The following is an 18,493-nucleotide window of genomic DNA, read 5'->3' on the forward strand; positions in this document are numbered from 1 at the left end:
TGTTTGTATCATGTTTTAAAGTGTAGGGAGCACTTCAAGGCAATCATTCCCTCATCCTCATGACAATCCATGTAGGACCGACAGTTCAAGTACTATCATCTCTATTGAACAGATGAGGAAACACAGGCTTAAAGAGGTTAGGTGGCCTGCTCAACTTGCAATGCTGGTCGGTGGTAGGCTAGGACTAGACCCTAAGCCTGAGTGGCTCCATGGCCTCTGCTCTATCTTCTGTACTGTGCAGCTTCTGCCAATGCCCACAGGCCCAAGCCTCATATAACTCAGGGTCGGTTGATACCAGCTGAAGCTCAGGGACTAAGCTAACTTCTTTCAAGAATCTCTAGGAAGAAGCCTCTGGCCTCTCAGCTTCCTCTCACTGAAGACTCTATACAAATTAAGACCCTGCTGAGGCATCACAGCACCAGTTAGAAGCAGAGCACTTGCCCCTTCTTGCCACTGCTCAGGAATGGCATCTACAATGTGTGTGTATGTGAGGGAGTTGTCTACAACCCACCAGAAAGGTCTCCGACTTTCCAACTTGGATGAGTTACTTCATCTCATCATTTTCATCTTTTCCACCACCATTCAAACTAAAAAAAGTGTAGAGAGCTTCAGCATGAAGTGTATTCCAATTACTTTTTATTTATTTATTTTTTTGAGATGGAGTCTCACTCTTGATGCCCAGGCTAGAGTGCAATGGCATGATCTCGGCTCACTGCAACCTCCGCAACACTGCAACCACTGCAACAATCCAAGTGATTCTCCTGCCTCAGCCTCCCGAGTAGCTGGGATTACATGCACGCGCCACCATGCCCAGCTAATTTTGTATTTTTAGTAGAGATGGGGTTTCACTATGTTAGCCAGGCTGGTCTTGAACTCCCGACCTCAGATGATCCACCTGCCTCAGCTTCCCAAAGTGCTGGGATTACAGGTGTGAGTCACTGCGCCCGGCCAAAAAATTTTTTTTTATTAAAAAAAAATATATAGAGAGAGATGGAGTCTACCTATGTTGCCTAGGCTGGTCTCAAACTCCTGGGCTCAAGTGGTCCTCCTGCCACAGCCTCCCAAAGTGCTAAGATTACAGGCATGAACCACTCACTGCACCCAGCCTTCAAACAAATTTTCCTTCCCACCTTTTTCCTTTCCTCCTCCCTTCCTGCCACATAGAGGACCCTGGTGACCCCAGTATGACTCCTCAGCAGGCAGCAACGTGTATTAGAAAGACCATGGGGGCTGGAGTCAGCAAGCCTGGAAAGCAAAACTGACTGTGTGACTTTATTAACATCTGTGAGATTCAGCTTCTTCATCTCCAAACAGATAATATCACCTATCTCACAAGAGTCAATGGCAAACCTAATTTAAAAAATGGACAAAGGACTGGAATAGACATTTCTCCAAATAAGACATACAAATGGCCAAAGAGCACATGAACAGATGCTCAATATCACTGGCTATCAGGAAAGTGCAAATCAAAACCACAATGAGGCTGGGGGTGGTGGCTCCTACCTGTAATCCCAGCACTCTGTGAGTGTGAAACAGGAGGATCATCTGAGGTTGGGAGTTCGAGACCAGCCTGGCTAACATAGTGAAACCCCGTCTCTACTAAAAAGTACAGAATTAACTAGGGGCTGTGGTGGCACATGCTTGTGGTCCTAGCAACTCAGGAGGCTGAGATGGAGGATCCCTTAAGCCCAGGAAGTCAATGCTATAGTGAGCCGTGATCACACCATTGCACTCCAGCCTGGAGGACAGAGCAAGACCCTGTCTCAAAAAATAAAATAAGATTCAATTTCTATTTAATGTCCAGATTAGGCAAATCTATGGAGACAGAAAGTAAATTAGTGGTTGCCAGGAGCTGGGAATAGTTGAAGAGAAATGGAGAGTGACTGATAATGAATACGAGGTCTCTTTATGGAGTGATAAAAATGTCCTAAAACTGATTGTCATAATAGTTTGCACAACTCTTGTGAATATACTATATAAACCATTGAGTTATATACTCTAAATGGTGAAGTGCATATAGAACCAAAAAGAGTCCAAACAGCCAAAGCAATCCTAAGCAAAAGAACAAAGCCAAAGGTATCAGACTACCTGACTTCAAACTATACTACAAGGCTATAGTGATCAAAACAGCATGGCACTGTACAAAAACAGACACATAGACCAATGGAACAGAATAGAGAACTCAGAAATAAAGCCACACACCTATACCCAACTGATCTTCAACAAGGTCAACAAATATAAGCAACGGGGAAAGGACTCCCTATTCAATAAATGGTGCTGGGATAACTGGCTATCCACATGCAGAAGAATGAAGCTGGACCTCTACCTCTCACCATATACAAAAATCAACTCAAGATGGATTAAAGATTTAAGTGTAAAACCTAAAACTATAAAAATCCTAGAAGAAAACCTAGGAAATACCCTTCAGGACATCAGCCTTGGCAAAGAATTTATTACTAGGTCCTCAAAAGCAACTATGACAAAAACAAAAATTGACAAATGGGGCCTAATTAAATGAAAGAGCTTCTGCACAGCAAAACAAACTATCAACAGAGTAAACAGACAACTTATAGAATGGGAGAAAATATTTTTGCAAACTATGCATCTGACACTGGTCTAATATCCAGAATCTATAAGGAACTTATGTGGGTCTTTTGTCTTGTTTTGTTTTGTTTTGAGATGGAGTCTCATTTTGTCACCCAGGCTGGAGTACAATGGTGTGACCTTGGCTCACTGCAACTTCCGCCTCCCAGGCTCAAGCGATTCCTCTGTGTCAGCCTCCCACATAGCTGGGATTACAGGTGTGCACCACCACACCCGGCTAATTTTTGTATTTTTAGAAAACCCTGTTTTCTAAAACAGGGTTTCACCATGTTGGCCAGGCTGGTCTTGAACTTCTGACCATGGGTGATCCACCTGCCTCAGCCTCCCAAAGTGCTGGGATTACAGGTATGAACCACCGCACCCAGCCAAGAATCTATAAGGAACTTAAACAACTCAACAAAGCAAAAAACAAATCCCATTTAAAAAATGGGCCAAAGACAAGGACATTTCTCAAAAGAAGACATACAAGCAACCAACAAACATATGAAAAAATGTTCAACATCATTAATCATCAGAGAAATGCAAATCAAACCCACAATGAGATACCATCTCGCACCAGTCAGAATGGCTCTTATTGGTGAGGCTGTAGAGAAAAGAGAATGCTTATACACTGTTGGAGGGAATGTAAATTAGTTCAGCCACTATGGAAAGCTGTTTGGAGATTTCTCAGAGAACTCAGAACTACCATTCAACCCAGAAATCTCATTACTGGGTATATATCCAAAAGAAAACAAATCGTTCTACCAAAAAGAAACAGGCACTCATATGTTCATCACAGCACTATTCACGATAGCAAAGACACAGAATCAATCTAGGTGCCCATCAGTGGTGGACGGAATAAGGAAAACATGGTACTATACCATGGGATACTACATGGAATACTACACAGCCATAAAAAAGAATGAAATCATGTCCTTTGCAACAACATGGATGCAGCTAGAAGCCATCATCCTAAGCAAATTAACACAAGAACAGAAAACCAAATACTGCATGTTCTCACTTACTATTATTATTATTTTTTGAGATGGAGTCTCTCTCTGTTGCCCAGGCTGGAGTGCAGTGACACAATCTAGGCTCACTGCAACCTCTGCCTCCTGGATTCAAGTGATTCTCGTGCCTCAGCCTCCCGAGTAGCTGGGACTACAGGCGCGTGCCACCACACCAGGGTAATTTTTGTATTTTTAGTAGAGTTGGGGTTTCGCCATGTTGGCCAGGCTGGTCTTGAAATCCTGACCTCAAGTTATCCGCCTGCTTTGGCCTACCAAAGTGCTGGGATTACAGGCATGAGCTGTGTCCAGCCTGCATGTTCTCCCAAAGTGCTGGGATTACAGGCGTGAGCCACTGTGCCCAGCCTACCTGTTCTCACTTATAAGTGGAAGCTAAACAATGGGTACTCATGGACATGAGTACCCTGTTGGATGGCAACAATAGACACCAGGAACTCTTAGAGGAGGGAGGGATGAAGGGGGGCACGGGTTGAAAAACTATTGGATACTATGCATAGTACCTGGGTGATGGGATCAATTATACACCACACCCCAGCATCATGCAATATACCCAGGTAACAAACCTGCACATGTAGCCCCTGAATCTAAAAGAAAAGTTGAAATAAAAATATTTGATACAAAATTAAAAAAAAAAGAAATGAGGTAGGAATTCTAGTGAGGTGTGAGAGGAGAGGAAGAGAAGCTTTTTTATATTAAGCTCTTGTATAATTCATTTTCTTTCTTTTTTTATTGATATATAATTCACACTCCATAAAAACAAATGGTGAATTGTATAGTATGTAAATTAAAACTTAATAAAGCTGTTAGGTTAAAAAATATATGTAAGAAGATAAGCATATTGCCTGGCATGTAGTAAGGACTCAATAAATGGTAATAAATTCATTATTGTACCCTTTCCTCTTCCTGATGTCATTCCAATACTGGCTAGGATCACCTCTAACACTAACACTGTAGAATATGTCAGGCTCATTCGAGGCAGCCCATTTCATACTAGTGGAGAGTCACAGGTGAGTCCTGAAGGCTAACATCCCAAGACTAAGAGTTTTCCTCCAATACTCAGACAACTAAATATACAACAGAACAGTAAGAAAATAATGGTTCCATTTATTGAACACTCACTATGTGCCCAGGTACTGTGCCAGGAACTTTACGACTATTCTCATGAGAATCCTACTAGGCTGTTATATTATTATTCCTATTCATTAAACGAAGAAACTGACACTTAGAGAAGTTATGTATCTTACAAAGTCACACTGGCAGTCACTGACTGAGCTGGAAAGTTCAACTCCAAGGCTTATAACTCTTTTTCTCTAAGTGATTACATGGCTTTATTATGCTTTCTCTTATTTATGCACATTTTACCCACACTTTACAATTCAAGCATCTTGATTTCACTGATCTCCCTTTCCTCTATGCCTTCTGTTTACATCAAATTAGTAAACATTTCCTTTTACATAGTCTTGTGTGTTCTCAGATTGTTTCATGTATATTCTCTTAAGTATGGCAGGTTGCTTAATAAACACTTCTTTAGTGAATGGATGTTAAGCTTCCTCAGGCAGGAAACACATTCTTGATGGACAGACACTGTGTCTTCAACATGTCTTTATCCTTTATATAGAGAAGGCACTCATGGTCAAGTAGGTTGGCCGATGGCTGGAGGACCATTCCCTACTTGAAAATGGTTCTCACAGACATCATGCTTTCTGCCCATGGACTGGAAGTTTTCTCCTTAGGAATAGGACCTCACCTCATTATCACCCCATCCTAGTGTAGCATGGGGGCTCAGAATAGAGCTGATGAATTAAAGACTGGGTCAACACTTATTCCACTGGAGACACCTCAAGGGCAGCCTTCCCACAGGGACCCCAAGCACATTTTCTCTCACCTCCATGAAAGGGAAGGGGGAGACCAGGAAGGATGGCAAGGAACTTGAAGAAGACAGGCTATTGTCCCTGCCTGTGGCCATGACAGTCAGTGCGGCATCCTCTCTGACTCAGGACCCTTCTTTTTAGTGCAGACCCAGGGGGTGCTTTCCAGAGCCCACATCTCACCTTCACACCACCAAATTCATAAGGTGGGGTAAACTCTTAAGAATCTGTTAGTCGGTTATCTACAGACCCATCAAAACTCTGTTTTAACCTCCTCTACTTCCTATCTCGCCTAACTCTCAGAGTAGTGACATGCTCACAAGTATCTAGATTCCCTTAGATTTGTCCTATAAGTACCCTGAGGTCACCCTCTTCCCCCTCCTCCCCCACCCCCATCCTATCCAAAGCAGTGTTCTTTGAGCTCCAGGGATCCTCTGGGGCAGGGATGGCAACAAGAAGAAGGTGGCAGCTCTTTGCCTCTCGGCAGCTATGCTACTTGGTTGGTCAAACTTGGTCCCTCTGTGTTCCCCGTCTCTACACCTGCTTGCCTCTCCTCTGCCTTTTCTTCAAGATGTTAAAAACTCGCAATAAAAAACAAATACAAAATGCTGTAATTAATAGCCAATTCCAAGCCAACCCAGCATCTCTACTAATAAACCTCAACACTTGCAAAAAGAACAATAAATTCTGCCCCTCTCTGGTTCTGAGGTGGTCTCTTTTATATAGTCTGTGTGTGTGTATGTATGTGGGTAAGTGTGTCTACATATATATTTATTTTCCTTTATTTCCCATCCAGGGAGGGGCAGAATAATGAACTGCGTGCGTCAGGGAAGATGAATCTGAGATACTAGGGAGCAGTGCAGTAAAAAGATTAAAGTGTTATTATTGTTGGGTTTTTTTCCCCCATGGTCCATTGTGACAGCTCGACCGTCATCTGTAAAAAATGTCTCAGTGAGAGATAATCATCGGAAACTCAATAAAGCGTCAGGGGGAGCCTCAGCCCCTATCAATCACTAGGTGCCTGGAAAATTTCAGCCCTCTGTCTCCCTTCCTGCTATCCATATAAATGTCTCTAATATATTTTGTGTGGTGTGTGGGACCCGTCCCTGATTTGGAACTTTTGATGAAAAAATATTTATACACAAAATATGTAAATCAGTTAAAAATCATAAGACTAGTTCTTTGCCACCCAATCCTATTGTTTCTTATTTTTATAAATGCATCAAATTTATTCTGTTTAATAAAACATGTCAACTAGTCTATCTCTCTCTCCTAGGACACAGACACACACACACACACAGTTTGGAGGGCTAAAAGGATGGAAATAATTAACCTAACTGGCTGATTCATTTAATCATGCAGTTGGCCAAAATGTATCCTGGTAACTCTATGGTGGCCAGAACCAGCACTATGGAGAAATGACATGTAGAAACATTGGCCATGGAGTGTGACAAGGCTCTGAGTGAGCCTGGACAAGGATGAGGAAGGGGCTGTGACATTATTAAAAATAATAAATTGCCCATACAGCTTTTGGCCTGGCAGATTCTCCCAAGCCTTTGGACAAGCCAGAGATCTGAGCTGACTAAGCTGGGGGCACATGCAGGCTGATATGGTTGCTGGGTCTTATACAAGAGCAGGAGGCAGTTCTGCTGGCATTTGACATCCTCACTCTGCCTTAGTTTCCTTTAGTACCTGCATCATAAGGTTACTGTGAATACAAAGTAAGTATCAATCAATATTATCTGCTACCCTTGCAGCTATCATCATCATCGTCATCTCATTATCACCTCCCTCTGCTTCTCTACCCTGGAAGGAATCAGTTCCTGCAGTGCCCTCTCCTTTAGGACCTTCAAGGCTCTTCTCTGTCTAAAGGATAAAGTCCAAGAGTCTTGATCTGGTCCTATTCTACTAATGTTGCATCTTTATTGCTCATTACTCTCTAAGATGAATCTTCTGCTGTGTGCCTGCTTCACCCTAACATGTTCGTCTATCAGCGTGAAACATAATTTTTCTGTTTCTCATATCTGAGTGGTTTTTTTGTTTTTTGAGACAGGGTCTTGCTCTGTCACCCAGGCTGGAGTGCAGTGGCGTGATCATGGCTTACTGCAGCCTTGACCTCCTGGGCTCAGGCAATCCTCCTGTCTCAGCCTCCTGAGTAGCTGGGACCACAGGCACAACCCACTACACCTGGCTAATTAAAAAATATATATATTGGGCAGGGCGTGGTGGCTCATTACTAATCCTGGCACTTTGGGAGGCCAAGGTGGGCAGATTGCCTGAGCTCAGGAGTTCGAGACCAGCCTGGGCAACATGGTGAAACCCTGTCTCTACTAAAATAAAAAATTTTGCCAGGCATGGTGGCACATGCCTGTAATCCCAACTACTCAGGAGGCTGAGGCATAGGAATTGCTTGAACCCAGGAGGCGGAGGTTGCAGAGAGCTGAGATCATGCCACTCACTGGACTCCAGCCTGGGCAACACAGCAAGACTCTGTCTCAAAAATAAAATAAAATAAAATAAAATAAAATAAAATAAAATAAAATAAAATAAAATAAAAGTTGTGTAGAGATGGGGTCTCACAATGTTGCCCAGGCTGGTCTTGAACACCTGGGCTCAAGCAGTCCTCCTGGTTTAGCCTTCCAAAGTCTTGCGATTATAGGCATGAGCCACCACACTCGACCACTCTGTATGTTTTGAATATAGCACACCCCTTCTCTACTCACATTCAATTGCACTCACCTGTCAACCCTCCATACAGCTGTCCAAAACCTTCCTATACTTGGAGGCTCAAATGTCATTTTATTTCCTTGACTTCTCAGCCACAGATTCTCTTCTCTGAGCTCTGATAGTCCTTGTTATCTGAACCTCTGACTGGACCCTTTGTCAAATATTGTTTTGGTAATGTCTTACATCTTTATTATTACTAATTATTGTTCTTGCAAGCACCTTACATTTGCACAATGCCTTGTATTTTCTCAAGCGCTTTCGTAAGTACTCCAATTTGGGCCTTAAAATAAGCCTATGGTGTAGGAAATATTATTCTCTACAGATGCGAAAATCAAGCTCAGAGAGCGAAGAAGAACTGCCAAGGTCACACAGTTAGGTAATGGCTAAGCCATTCCTTGGACTCTAAATAATATTTGGCTCTTTGAGGGTTAATGGTTTGCTACCAGAGGAAAGCATTTGGAAGGCTGTGTCAAAGACTGACATTCCGTTAAGAATATGAGGAGGAGGATGTAGAAACACAGGTTTACATTCACAGAATTTCTTCTATGTTCTGGGGTTTAGGTTAGGCGTAAATGTACTATGCTGCCTCCCAATAACCTTTATTTTACAAATAAGGAGACAGTGCCTCTGGCAGGTATAGAAAATTGCTCCAGGTGTCAGAGCTATTAAGTGTTCTGCACACATATAATACCATGGCTTAAACACATAGCCTCTCTAGGAGTGAAGCTTAAAGTGGCAAAATAAGATCTCTGGTAGGGAGGTGAAGGCCCAGATGAGTTTTTTAAGCAGTTCAAGCACAACACCACAACTAATACCTGTAGTCCAAATCATGCTTCCCAAAGGGTAGGAGCCTATTATTAGAAACGCAAAACCTCGGGTCCCACCCCAGACATACTCAATCAGAATCTCTGAGGGTAGGGTCCAGGAACCTGTGTTTTAACAAGCTCTCTAGGGGATTCTTATTTCCTTGGGAGCCTTATTATTCTCATCTGAGTTTTTGCTCTCCAAGAGCATGCATTCTCTCTGCTATGCTTGGGTTAGGCTGGGCACACAGTGGGTGCTGGGTAGTTAACTTATACTGAGTAAAAGAGATAGTCAGATGAGACCATCCTTGGCATGTCCTGGGGAGGGGGAGAAATATTATACAGAGCAGTTCCATTACCGCCAGCGGGGAGTCCTAGCCATCTCCTGAACTCCAGGGCACTTGTCCACTGGTTTGTGATGTGCCGGCTTGCACCGTCCTGTCCCCCATCTGAAGACACAGAGATGGGGAGGTCAGCTGGAGCAGGCCAGGTCCTGCAGGCCCTGGAGCTCTGGGAAGGGGGCACTCAGGCTGGTGGGGTTGTTCCAAGCCCTCTACCCCCAGAAGGGCCCTATGCCAACCCAGCTTCTGCCCCACTCATCTTTATTCAGCTGCCACTTGGAGCTGAGAAGAGAGGCTGATTTATAGCCTGCTCTGGCTGCGTCTCTGCCGTGTTTTATTGTTTTAATTGTACATATGAGAGGCACTCAAAATGCTTGCTTGCATTTCTGACAGCCCCAGACACCCAATGTTTATAACAGTTACTTATAAGCAGCCAGCGGCAACCCCGGCTGGGCGACTTGTTTACTGTTACCACTAATTTATTACCTCCTCCATCTGAGGATTACGGCCCCCACCCATCAGCCAGCCACAAGTGGAACACTCCTGGAGTGGGCATGGGTAGGGCTCAAGGCACTGAATGGAATGTGGTTGAGATCAGGGAATAGGTTGGCAGAGGAACAGCTATGATCCTCATACTTCTCTCTACATTTATTCCATCTCACAGACATTCTAAGCTGTGCCCTCTGCTTTTTTATTTTTCCCCATCCTCTTCATCCTCCAAAGCCCAACTCAAATCCCACTTCTTTCAAGAATATCACATTGGGTGCAGTGGCTTACCCCTGTAATGCCAGCACTTTGGGAGGCCAAGGTGGGTGGATCACCTGAGGTCTGCAGTTAGAGACTAGCCTGGCCAACATGGTGAAACTCCATCTCTACTAAAAGTATTAGTAAAATAAAAATAAAAATTAGCCGGGCGTGGTGGTGGCGCCAGTAATCCCAGCTACTTGGGAGGCTGAGGCAGGAGAATCGCCTGAACCCAGGAGGCAGAGGTTGCAGTGAGCCGAGATCATGTCATTGCACTCCAGTCTGGGTAACAAGAGCGAAACTCTGTCTCAAAAAAAAAAAAAAAAAAAAAAGAACATTACTTGCTCTGATAGTGAGCCTAGAGCTTCTAAACATTAGAAATCACATGGCTGACAGGGGCACCGGAGGCCAGATAATCCAATGACCCATGGCGAGAATCCCCTTTACAGAATCCATGATGGGCAGACATCTCAGCTGTTAGTACCCCTTGAGTGGTGAGTTGCTCAATACCTCCTAGGCAGGCTTCCTGCTTTACACTTTGCCAAAACCCACCTCCATAGAGAAATTCTTTATTAAATGTCACTGTGCTTTAAATATATATGATTATCTCTAATCATCCTAACAACCCTATAAGATGGGTATTGTTTTTACTATGTTACAGATGAGAAAATTGAAATTCAGAGACTTTAAGTCATTTACTCAAGATCACACATCTAGTAATAGAGCTTAGATGAATCATTCAGATATCTGGTACTGAAGCCCAATCTTTCTCTAGGACACCAATGTGCCTCTGAAGATGCCACTCTGAGGGCTGGAGGGAAAGCAAAGAACAATCAGGCCAACAAGATTTCCATACCAAGCATCCTTGGGTTACCTGAACCAGTAAGACTGCCCTCTACCCAGAAACACCAACTTTGACAAAAGTGGACCCAGCTAAGTAGGCTTCTTGCTAAAGAGCAAATGCTCACATGACATGGGAGAAGAGTGTCACTAGGAATGGCATAACCAAAGATAAAGTCTCAGCAAGGATGGCAAAGAAGTTTCTTTCCTCCCTAGGCTGTGTCTGTTCTCAGCAGGTAAAACAGATACAAAGCATCTTTGATACCTTTTAGTTTTCTTGCCTGGATCCTTTTTCCTGCTCACACCTTAAATGCTGGTATCCTGAGTAAAGGACTTGTCCTCCTACCACCCCCTCACTTTAAATCCTTTCTTTGGGCAATTTTGGTTACATCTATTGTTTTAACTCCCAAGGAAATGGAAAATACTCCTAAATCCCTATCTCCTGCCAAACTACTCCTTTGAGCTCTCCAGACCCACATATCTAACTATTCACTCAAATTGGAAACTGAGGTGTCACCATGCATACCTCCTTTTCCATCAATTCTCACAATCCACTGAGTACTCAATCTTCTAATATTCTGCTAATATCTATTTACTCTATTCCCAAAGATCACCTTTAGGAATCTCCAGATATTTTAAATGTTTTTTTGGAGGACAGGAGCATAGCTTCTTACAGATTCCCAAAGGAGTCCATTATCCCTAAAAAGTCAAGAACCATTGCTAATCTTTCCCCTCCAATTCCTCCTCCACCCTGTCAGAATGGTCCATCTAAAATGCAAGTGTGAATTCGACATTGCCCTGCTTAAAATCCTTTAACGGCCTTCAGAATAGAGAATGAGCTCCCTAGAACTGCCTTACAAGGTCCTTCCTATGTGTAGCCTTCTTCACTCTCCGGCCTTATTTCTTGTTATTCTCCTCAATCCTGCAGCAGATGGTTCCACCTGCTGTCACTCCCTAACCCCCACCCAACGCCTCTGCATAGACTGTTCCCTCTGCCTGGAAGGTCCATCCCTTTTAGCCTTCCTGGCAATCTCCAACTCATCCTTAAGACCCAATTCAAGGTCACTTACCCTGTGACACTTCCCAGACACCAGCCTGCTCACTTCTCAGGTAGAGCTCACCAATACTTACAGCAGTGCTGCCTACATACTTTGTGCAGCTACCATTGCATTTATCACTCTGCGTTGTGATTCCTTGTTTACAGGCTTGTCTCTGTAAATGACTGGGAGCACTGATGAGGGGCTAGACTATGTATAATCATTTATATAATCCCAGCAACTGGCAGAGTGCCTGATACTCGGTAAGAACACGCTGAATTATGCATAAATGAAACTAATAAGCAATTACAACTGTAGAGCACTTTACAATCCACATATCACATATTTTATCTCTTGATATTCACAACAATACTGATACGGAAGAAAAGGAATGTATCATTGGAGGTTAGAGAGGTCTTGCCAAAGCCACAAACTACACCTTCCTTCCAAGGGCCACAGAAATATCTATTAGAAATTTAGTGGACTTCATGGACTTGGCAGTGACTCCATAGTCTAATATAACAGCAAAGGACTGCCCAACTTTCCTGAGCTTGTGAACTTCCTGTGAATTTGCCTAGACACACTCGAAGGAAAGGGAATTACATCTCTTGTTTTACTCTACCTTCCTTACCCATCCCTACAAGTCAGGTAATTTTTCATGCAAAAGTCAATGCAATACAAAAATAAGAGAACTACAGGATTCTTTTGTTTCTATTTCATCCATGAGAATGAGTCAGAGCTGGGTATGGTGCCTTGCATACAATTGGCAGTCAATATATATTGGTTGAATGGCTTAAAAAATGAGGTTTCCTTAAACGGAAAAAGGAAAGACATGGTTAAGACGAAGCTAAAGGCTTAGGCTGATGAGAGAGAAGAGCCCTGAGAAGATTCTAAAAGACTATCACTATCCAGGTCCAAGTCGGAACGTTCAGTGCACCAAGTTGGACAGCAGAGCACATCCAAACTGATACACCCAGGAAAATAAAGCCAGCTGCCAGAAAACTGTGGCAGACAAAGGTAGTCTAGAATTATTTAAAAAAAAAAAAAAAAAGGTAGAGAGATCTTGCAAGCCACAGTGAGTTTATTAATGATTCCTGACAAACTTCTAGGACGTTATTATTATTATTTTTTTTTAACAGTTGTTTGTTTTTGTTTTTGTTTTGAGACAGGGTCTTGCTCTGTCACCCAGGCTGTAATGCAGTGGTGTGATCTCAGCTCACTGCAACCTCTGCCTTCTGGGTTCAAGTGATTCTCGTGCCTCAGCCTCCTGAGTAGCTGGGACTACAGGCATGCACCACCACGCCCTGCTAAGTTTTGTATTTTTAGTAGAAATGGGGTTTTGCCATGTTGGCCAGGCTGCTCGAACTCCTAGCCTCAGGTGATCTGCTTGCCTCGGCCTCCCAATGTGCTGGGACTACAAGCGTGAGCCACAGTGCCCAGCGTTTTATAACAGTTCTTAAACACTTGGGTAATTACCGGGTACCAGTATGGGTTCCCTAAGAACAATAAATCAACATGCCAGAATAACCTGATTTCCTTTTTTGGAAAGCGTTATTAGACAGGAAAATACGACAAATGCTAGAAACATTTTAATTTTAGCAAGAAATATGGGGAAAAAGCTCTTAAAATTTTGTGAACAAAGCAGAGGAATGGAGGATGGAAAAGAATGAAGGTTGGTAGAATTACACCTGAGAATGCTGAATAATGCATCAAAATTATCCTGACCATGTGCTCTAGGACTCTGTGTTTAATAAAGTCTTTATAAACATTTTAATCCAAGTAAGAACATGACGGCAGGGGATCTTGTCTGTCTAACTCATCAGTGCTTAAAACACTGCCTGGTATACAGGAATGTGATCAATAAATACTTTTGAATAAATAAGTGAATCCACAGGAAGCCTACTACTAAATTTGCAGATCATATGAAATAAGAAGAGATAGTTAATATTTTAATTGTTATTTCATAAGGGGACATGATAGCCTTTTCAAATATTTTTGTTGTCTATCTCTCCCTATCTACCTACCTACCCAGAATGTAGGCTGTCTGGCATAAGAGTTAAAAATAATCCAGAGGTTGACCAGGAAAAAGAAAATAAAAGAAAAAAGAAAAGAAAGGGAAGCAAAGGGGAAGGGAAGGGGAAGGGAAGGGGAAGGGAAGGGGAAGGGAAAGGGAAGGGGAAGGAAGGAAGGAAAAACTAAGAAAAAGAAATTATGTAACCTTGAACTAGGAATGCGAAAAGAAAATTATGTAGAGCAGGGTTGGCAAACTACAGCCTCTGGGCCAAATCCAGCCTGCTGTGTGTTTTTATAAATAACATTTTATTGAAACATATCCACATCACTTCGTTTGTGTATTGTTTGTGGCTGCTTCTGTATCACAATGGTCGAGGTAAGTAGTCACAACTGAGATCAACTGGCCCACAAAGCTTAAATGTTTACTATCTGGCTCTTTCTAGAAAGTTTGCTGACTACTGATCTACAATGTTGAATGTGAGTATCACCCTGGAGGTTACCATTAAAACACAAAGCTACAAAACATGAATGTACATTGTGGAGATCAGTGTGACAGCAGAAGTTGGACTAGATGGCTTCATAGCTCTGAGATTCTATAAAACAAAAAAATGTTTATTGAGCCCTGCTAGAATCCTGACAGCAGAAGAGAAGGCACTCAAAAGAATCCCCTCCTGTCTACCTGGCCCTGCCCTCTCAACAAATGCTCCACCTTGCTTTTTGGTGAGAGCACCTGTATTAGTTCGTTTTCATCATGCTGATAAAGACATACCTGAAACTGGGAACAAAAAGAGGTTTAATTGGACTTACAGTTCCACATGGCCAGGGAGGCCTCAGAATCATGGCAGGAGGTAAAAGGCACTTCTTACATGGCAGTGGCAAGAGAAAAATGAGGACGAAGCAAAAATGGGAAACCCCTAGCAAACCCATCAGATCTCATGAGACTTATTCACTATCACAAGAATAGCATGGGAAAGACTAGCCCCCATGATTCAATTACTTTTCCCTAGGTCCCTGCCACAACACGTGGGAATTCTGGGAGATAAATTCAAGTTGAGATTTGAATAGGGATACAGCCAAACCATATCAGCACCTAAACTGAAGACAGAGCTGAGCACTGCAATGCTGTGCCTGAATGAGAAGAGGATGGCCCATAAGCTGAGTCCCCACATATCAGGCTGCAAATAGAGGGCAAGGTGGTACTCATGAAATTCTCTGTTTAAAACATAAACACAATTCCTCCGGCTCAGTGGGGAATACAAGGACACAAAGATCATGGCCTGCACATGAGGAGGAGAGAAAGGACATATGGGTAGATGAGAGTTCAAGTAACCATACAAGAGGCCAAGATCTAGAGAACATTCAAAAGAACAGCTGAGGGCAGGTTGCAATTATTGTCAAGGACAGGGAAGCCTTTGTGGAGGATCTAGCCTTAGCAATGGAGCCTTAAGAGAAGGAGCAGGTTTAGAGAGGTGGAAGGGAAGGGAGAGGGTAACTTCAAACTTTACCTGGGCAGCAATGCCTTAATGCTCTTGGACACTCCTCTCATGCCACTGATTTGAGAAACCTTCTCCCCGGGGCAGCAACAACACCGCTACTCTGAGTTACCACATACCACGTCAGTCTGGCAGCCTTACAGCTCTGAAGGCTGAGCACATTGCTCCCCTTGGCTGAATTTCCCCCAGCGTCAATATTCTGGCTCTCAGGCAGTCAGAGAGGCTGTCTGTCCTCCTGGCATCACTGCTAACACTAAAGCAGCCACTGCTCAGCCACCCTATTGCTGGCAATGTCAGAGGGATCGCAGCCTCTGTGAATGATCCAGGACAAGGGGAAAGCAGTGGCGACAGTCTGGATAAACGAAAGCTCAAATGTAAAATACTCATTTCTGACTGCAGCCAAAGCAACCAGCTGTTTTTTTCAATCCCACTTTGGAAGAAGTACTCACCAGACACAACATAGACTGACTTGCTGAGGCACCCCCCAACAGACACATGATCGAGCCCTAGTGCAAACCCAAACACCTGCCTTGGACATTCAATCCCCAAGACTCATCCCAGAGCCTCTTCATTCTGAAGTTCAAACCACCACCAACACAACATCCCAGACATCCCAGAGGAGGCATTGATGATGACCTCATTTTATGAGGATAGACATCAAAACACAGAGAAGGTCCACTGTTTGTCCTGGATCATAGAGTAAGTTGAGGGGACAGTCCCAGAGACAGGACTGCAATTTACATTTAGGAGGGGGAAAAGCAGTATTCAGAGTAATAGTATTTAGGGACTTCTGAGGCTGAGGAATCCAGTGAGGCTGTTGTCTAGTTCTGGGGCAGGAATGGGGCAAGGTAAGTCTGCAGGAAACAGGAGACGAACAAATCCACATTCCATGCAGTTGCCTTAATTATTTTACTGAAATCTGCTCCGTTGTCCACTCATCTGCGGCTCTCCAGGCTGAAGCACTTTCAGGAAAACACCAGTTGAAATGTACTTCCTACCCGCAATTAGGTCATGAAATCAGGCCTCTATTTCTTTCCCCAAGACTTCTTTTGAAGTGACATAAAGTTAGAGCCAGGGGACTGTGAAAGGCAGCTGTTCCAAGCCCTTTGGGGTCTCCATGAGTCCACAGAGGTAAAGAACATGCAGGCTGTCACTCTGAGTTGCTGGTAGAGCTGACACCACAGAGCAAGGCTGCATGAAAGCCACAAGAGGAGAGCTCTCAGAGAAGCAGGACAGCCCACACTTACCTTCCAAAGAATGGATTCCCTGTTCCTTGGCAGTCTTGTAAACACTGCTGAAATCATCTCCAAGGTTTGGATCAGCCCCAGCAGCAAGCAGGACCTGTACCACACTAGAAGAAATCACAAAGACAGAAGTGTCAAAAGCAAGAAAGGCCCAGGAGGTACAGACCCAGATCCGGAAGCATGTTTGGGGACTGGAGCTGTCTCTGCTCATGTGAGTGATACGGTGGGAAAAAAACCATGAACTTTGGGAGTGTAAAAGACAAGGATAGGAAAGACAGGGACAGGAGATCTTAGCCGGGTGCAGTGACTAATGACTGTAATCCCAGCACTTTGGGAGAATTACTTGAGTCCGGGAGTTCAAGACCAGTCTGGGCAACATAGTGAAACTTCATTTTTAAAAAAAAAGGCAGCAGCCTCTGAAACTTATCAGCTGAGAAGCTTGGGACAAGTTACTTAACACCTTTCTAAGGCCCAGTTTCCACAATTATAAAATACAAACTGTTTATCCAACAATTACTTATCAAATGCCTACCATGTTCTAGTCCCTATTTTAGGTGCTGAGGTCTGTGACCTCAAGAAGCTAGGGCCAGTCTGCTGAGAAAAACAATAATTAAGTATAAAGCTACAGCTCAAAGTGTGATAAAGGTTACGACAGGAGAAACGTGCAGCAGACCAAGAAACAGGATCAAGAAAGCCCTTACGGCATCAGCAAGATGGCAGAACAGGACTCTCCAGCACTTGCTCCCCAGCAGAAACATCAATTTGAACAATTATCCACATGCAAAAATACCTTCACAAGAGCTAAGTAAACCAAATGAGAGATTATAGCACCTGGGCGTAGCACAGAGGTAAAGAAAAGATTACCTACAGAGGGTAGGAAGACAGTCTCCCCTTACCCATATCACCCCTCCCCGAACTCCAGGCGGTACACATGGAGAGACATACACTCATGGGGGAAGGAGAGGGAAGTGAGGGCTGGACTTTGCCTTGGACCCTGAAACCAGGCCCACTCCAGTAAAACTCAGTGCCTGGAAGGCTCCCAAACTCCCGGCTGATACCCTCAGACTAAGCCTCTAGGCCTGCCCTGGTGCCAGGCCATACCCCATAGCCCCAGGCTCCAGATCTGCTTCCTAGCCAGACTGACCTTAGCAGCCCGACTCTGGCCCTAGTGCCAGGCCAGCCCCAGCAGTCATGGACTCTGGGCCCACCTTAACATGAGCCCAGCCCCTACAGACTCAGGCTTCAGGCCCACCTTGCAGATTCAATCTCCAGGCCCATCCTAGCGCCAGGGCAGCCTTGGTGGCCCAGGGCTCTAGACTCCCCCCAGAACCGGCTGGGGCATGAATCCAGGCTTCAGGTCTGCCCTAGCACTGGGTCAGCCTGACAGCCTTAGTTATCAGGCCTACACCAGCAGACCCAGCCTCCAGGTCCACCCCAGGCTCCAGCCCAGCCCACAGCCAAGTTGGTCCACACAGCTCAGAGCTTTAGGCCTGCCCTAGCACCAGGTCAGTACCCCTGGCCTTAGGCACTGGGCCAGCACCTGTGGACACAGGCTCTAGGCCTGCTCAGTTTCACACCAGTCCCTGCGGCCCCACACTCCAGGCCTGCTCTAGCAACCCCCAGGCCCATCCCAGTAGACCCAGTACTGAGCTGGCTCCCACAAATCCAGACTCCAGGATAGCCCTCATGGACCCAGGTCCCAGGCTGGCCCTCATTGCCCTAGTACCCAGGCTAGCCCTCACAGACCTACCCTCTGGGGCAGCATCTGCACA

At 44.3% G+C, this 18,493-nt stretch overlaps 1 protein-coding gene across 8 annotated transcripts in view; it reads right to left on the bottom strand.

The window, feature by feature from the left end:
- Positions 1-18,493, bottom strand: part of CLPB (ClpB family mitochondrial disaggregase) — a 149,037-nt gene that overhangs the window by 78,062 nt on the left and 52,482 nt on the right. For 5 of the 8 annotated variants that reach the window (XM_005274320.2, NM_030813.6, NM_001258394.3 and 2 more), the window contains 2 exons: positions 16,725-16,828; positions 9,369-9,458 (listed from right to left, as the gene is read on the bottom strand). In XM_005274320.2, the coding sequence (XP_005274377.1) occupies positions 9,369-9,458; positions 16,725-16,828 (194 nt within the window). The remainder of the gene's footprint in view (positions 1-9,368; positions 9,459-16,724; positions 16,829-18,493) is intronic. The other 3 variants (NM_001258393.3, NM_001258392.3, XM_047427655.1) reach the window with 1 other exon arrangement.

The sequence above is a fragment of the Homo sapiens genome, chromosome 11 (genome assembly GCF_000001405.40).
Source record: "Homo sapiens chromosome 11, GRCh38.p14 Primary Assembly".
Lineage (NCBI taxonomy): Eukaryota > Metazoa > Chordata > Mammalia > Primates > Hominidae > Homo > Homo sapiens.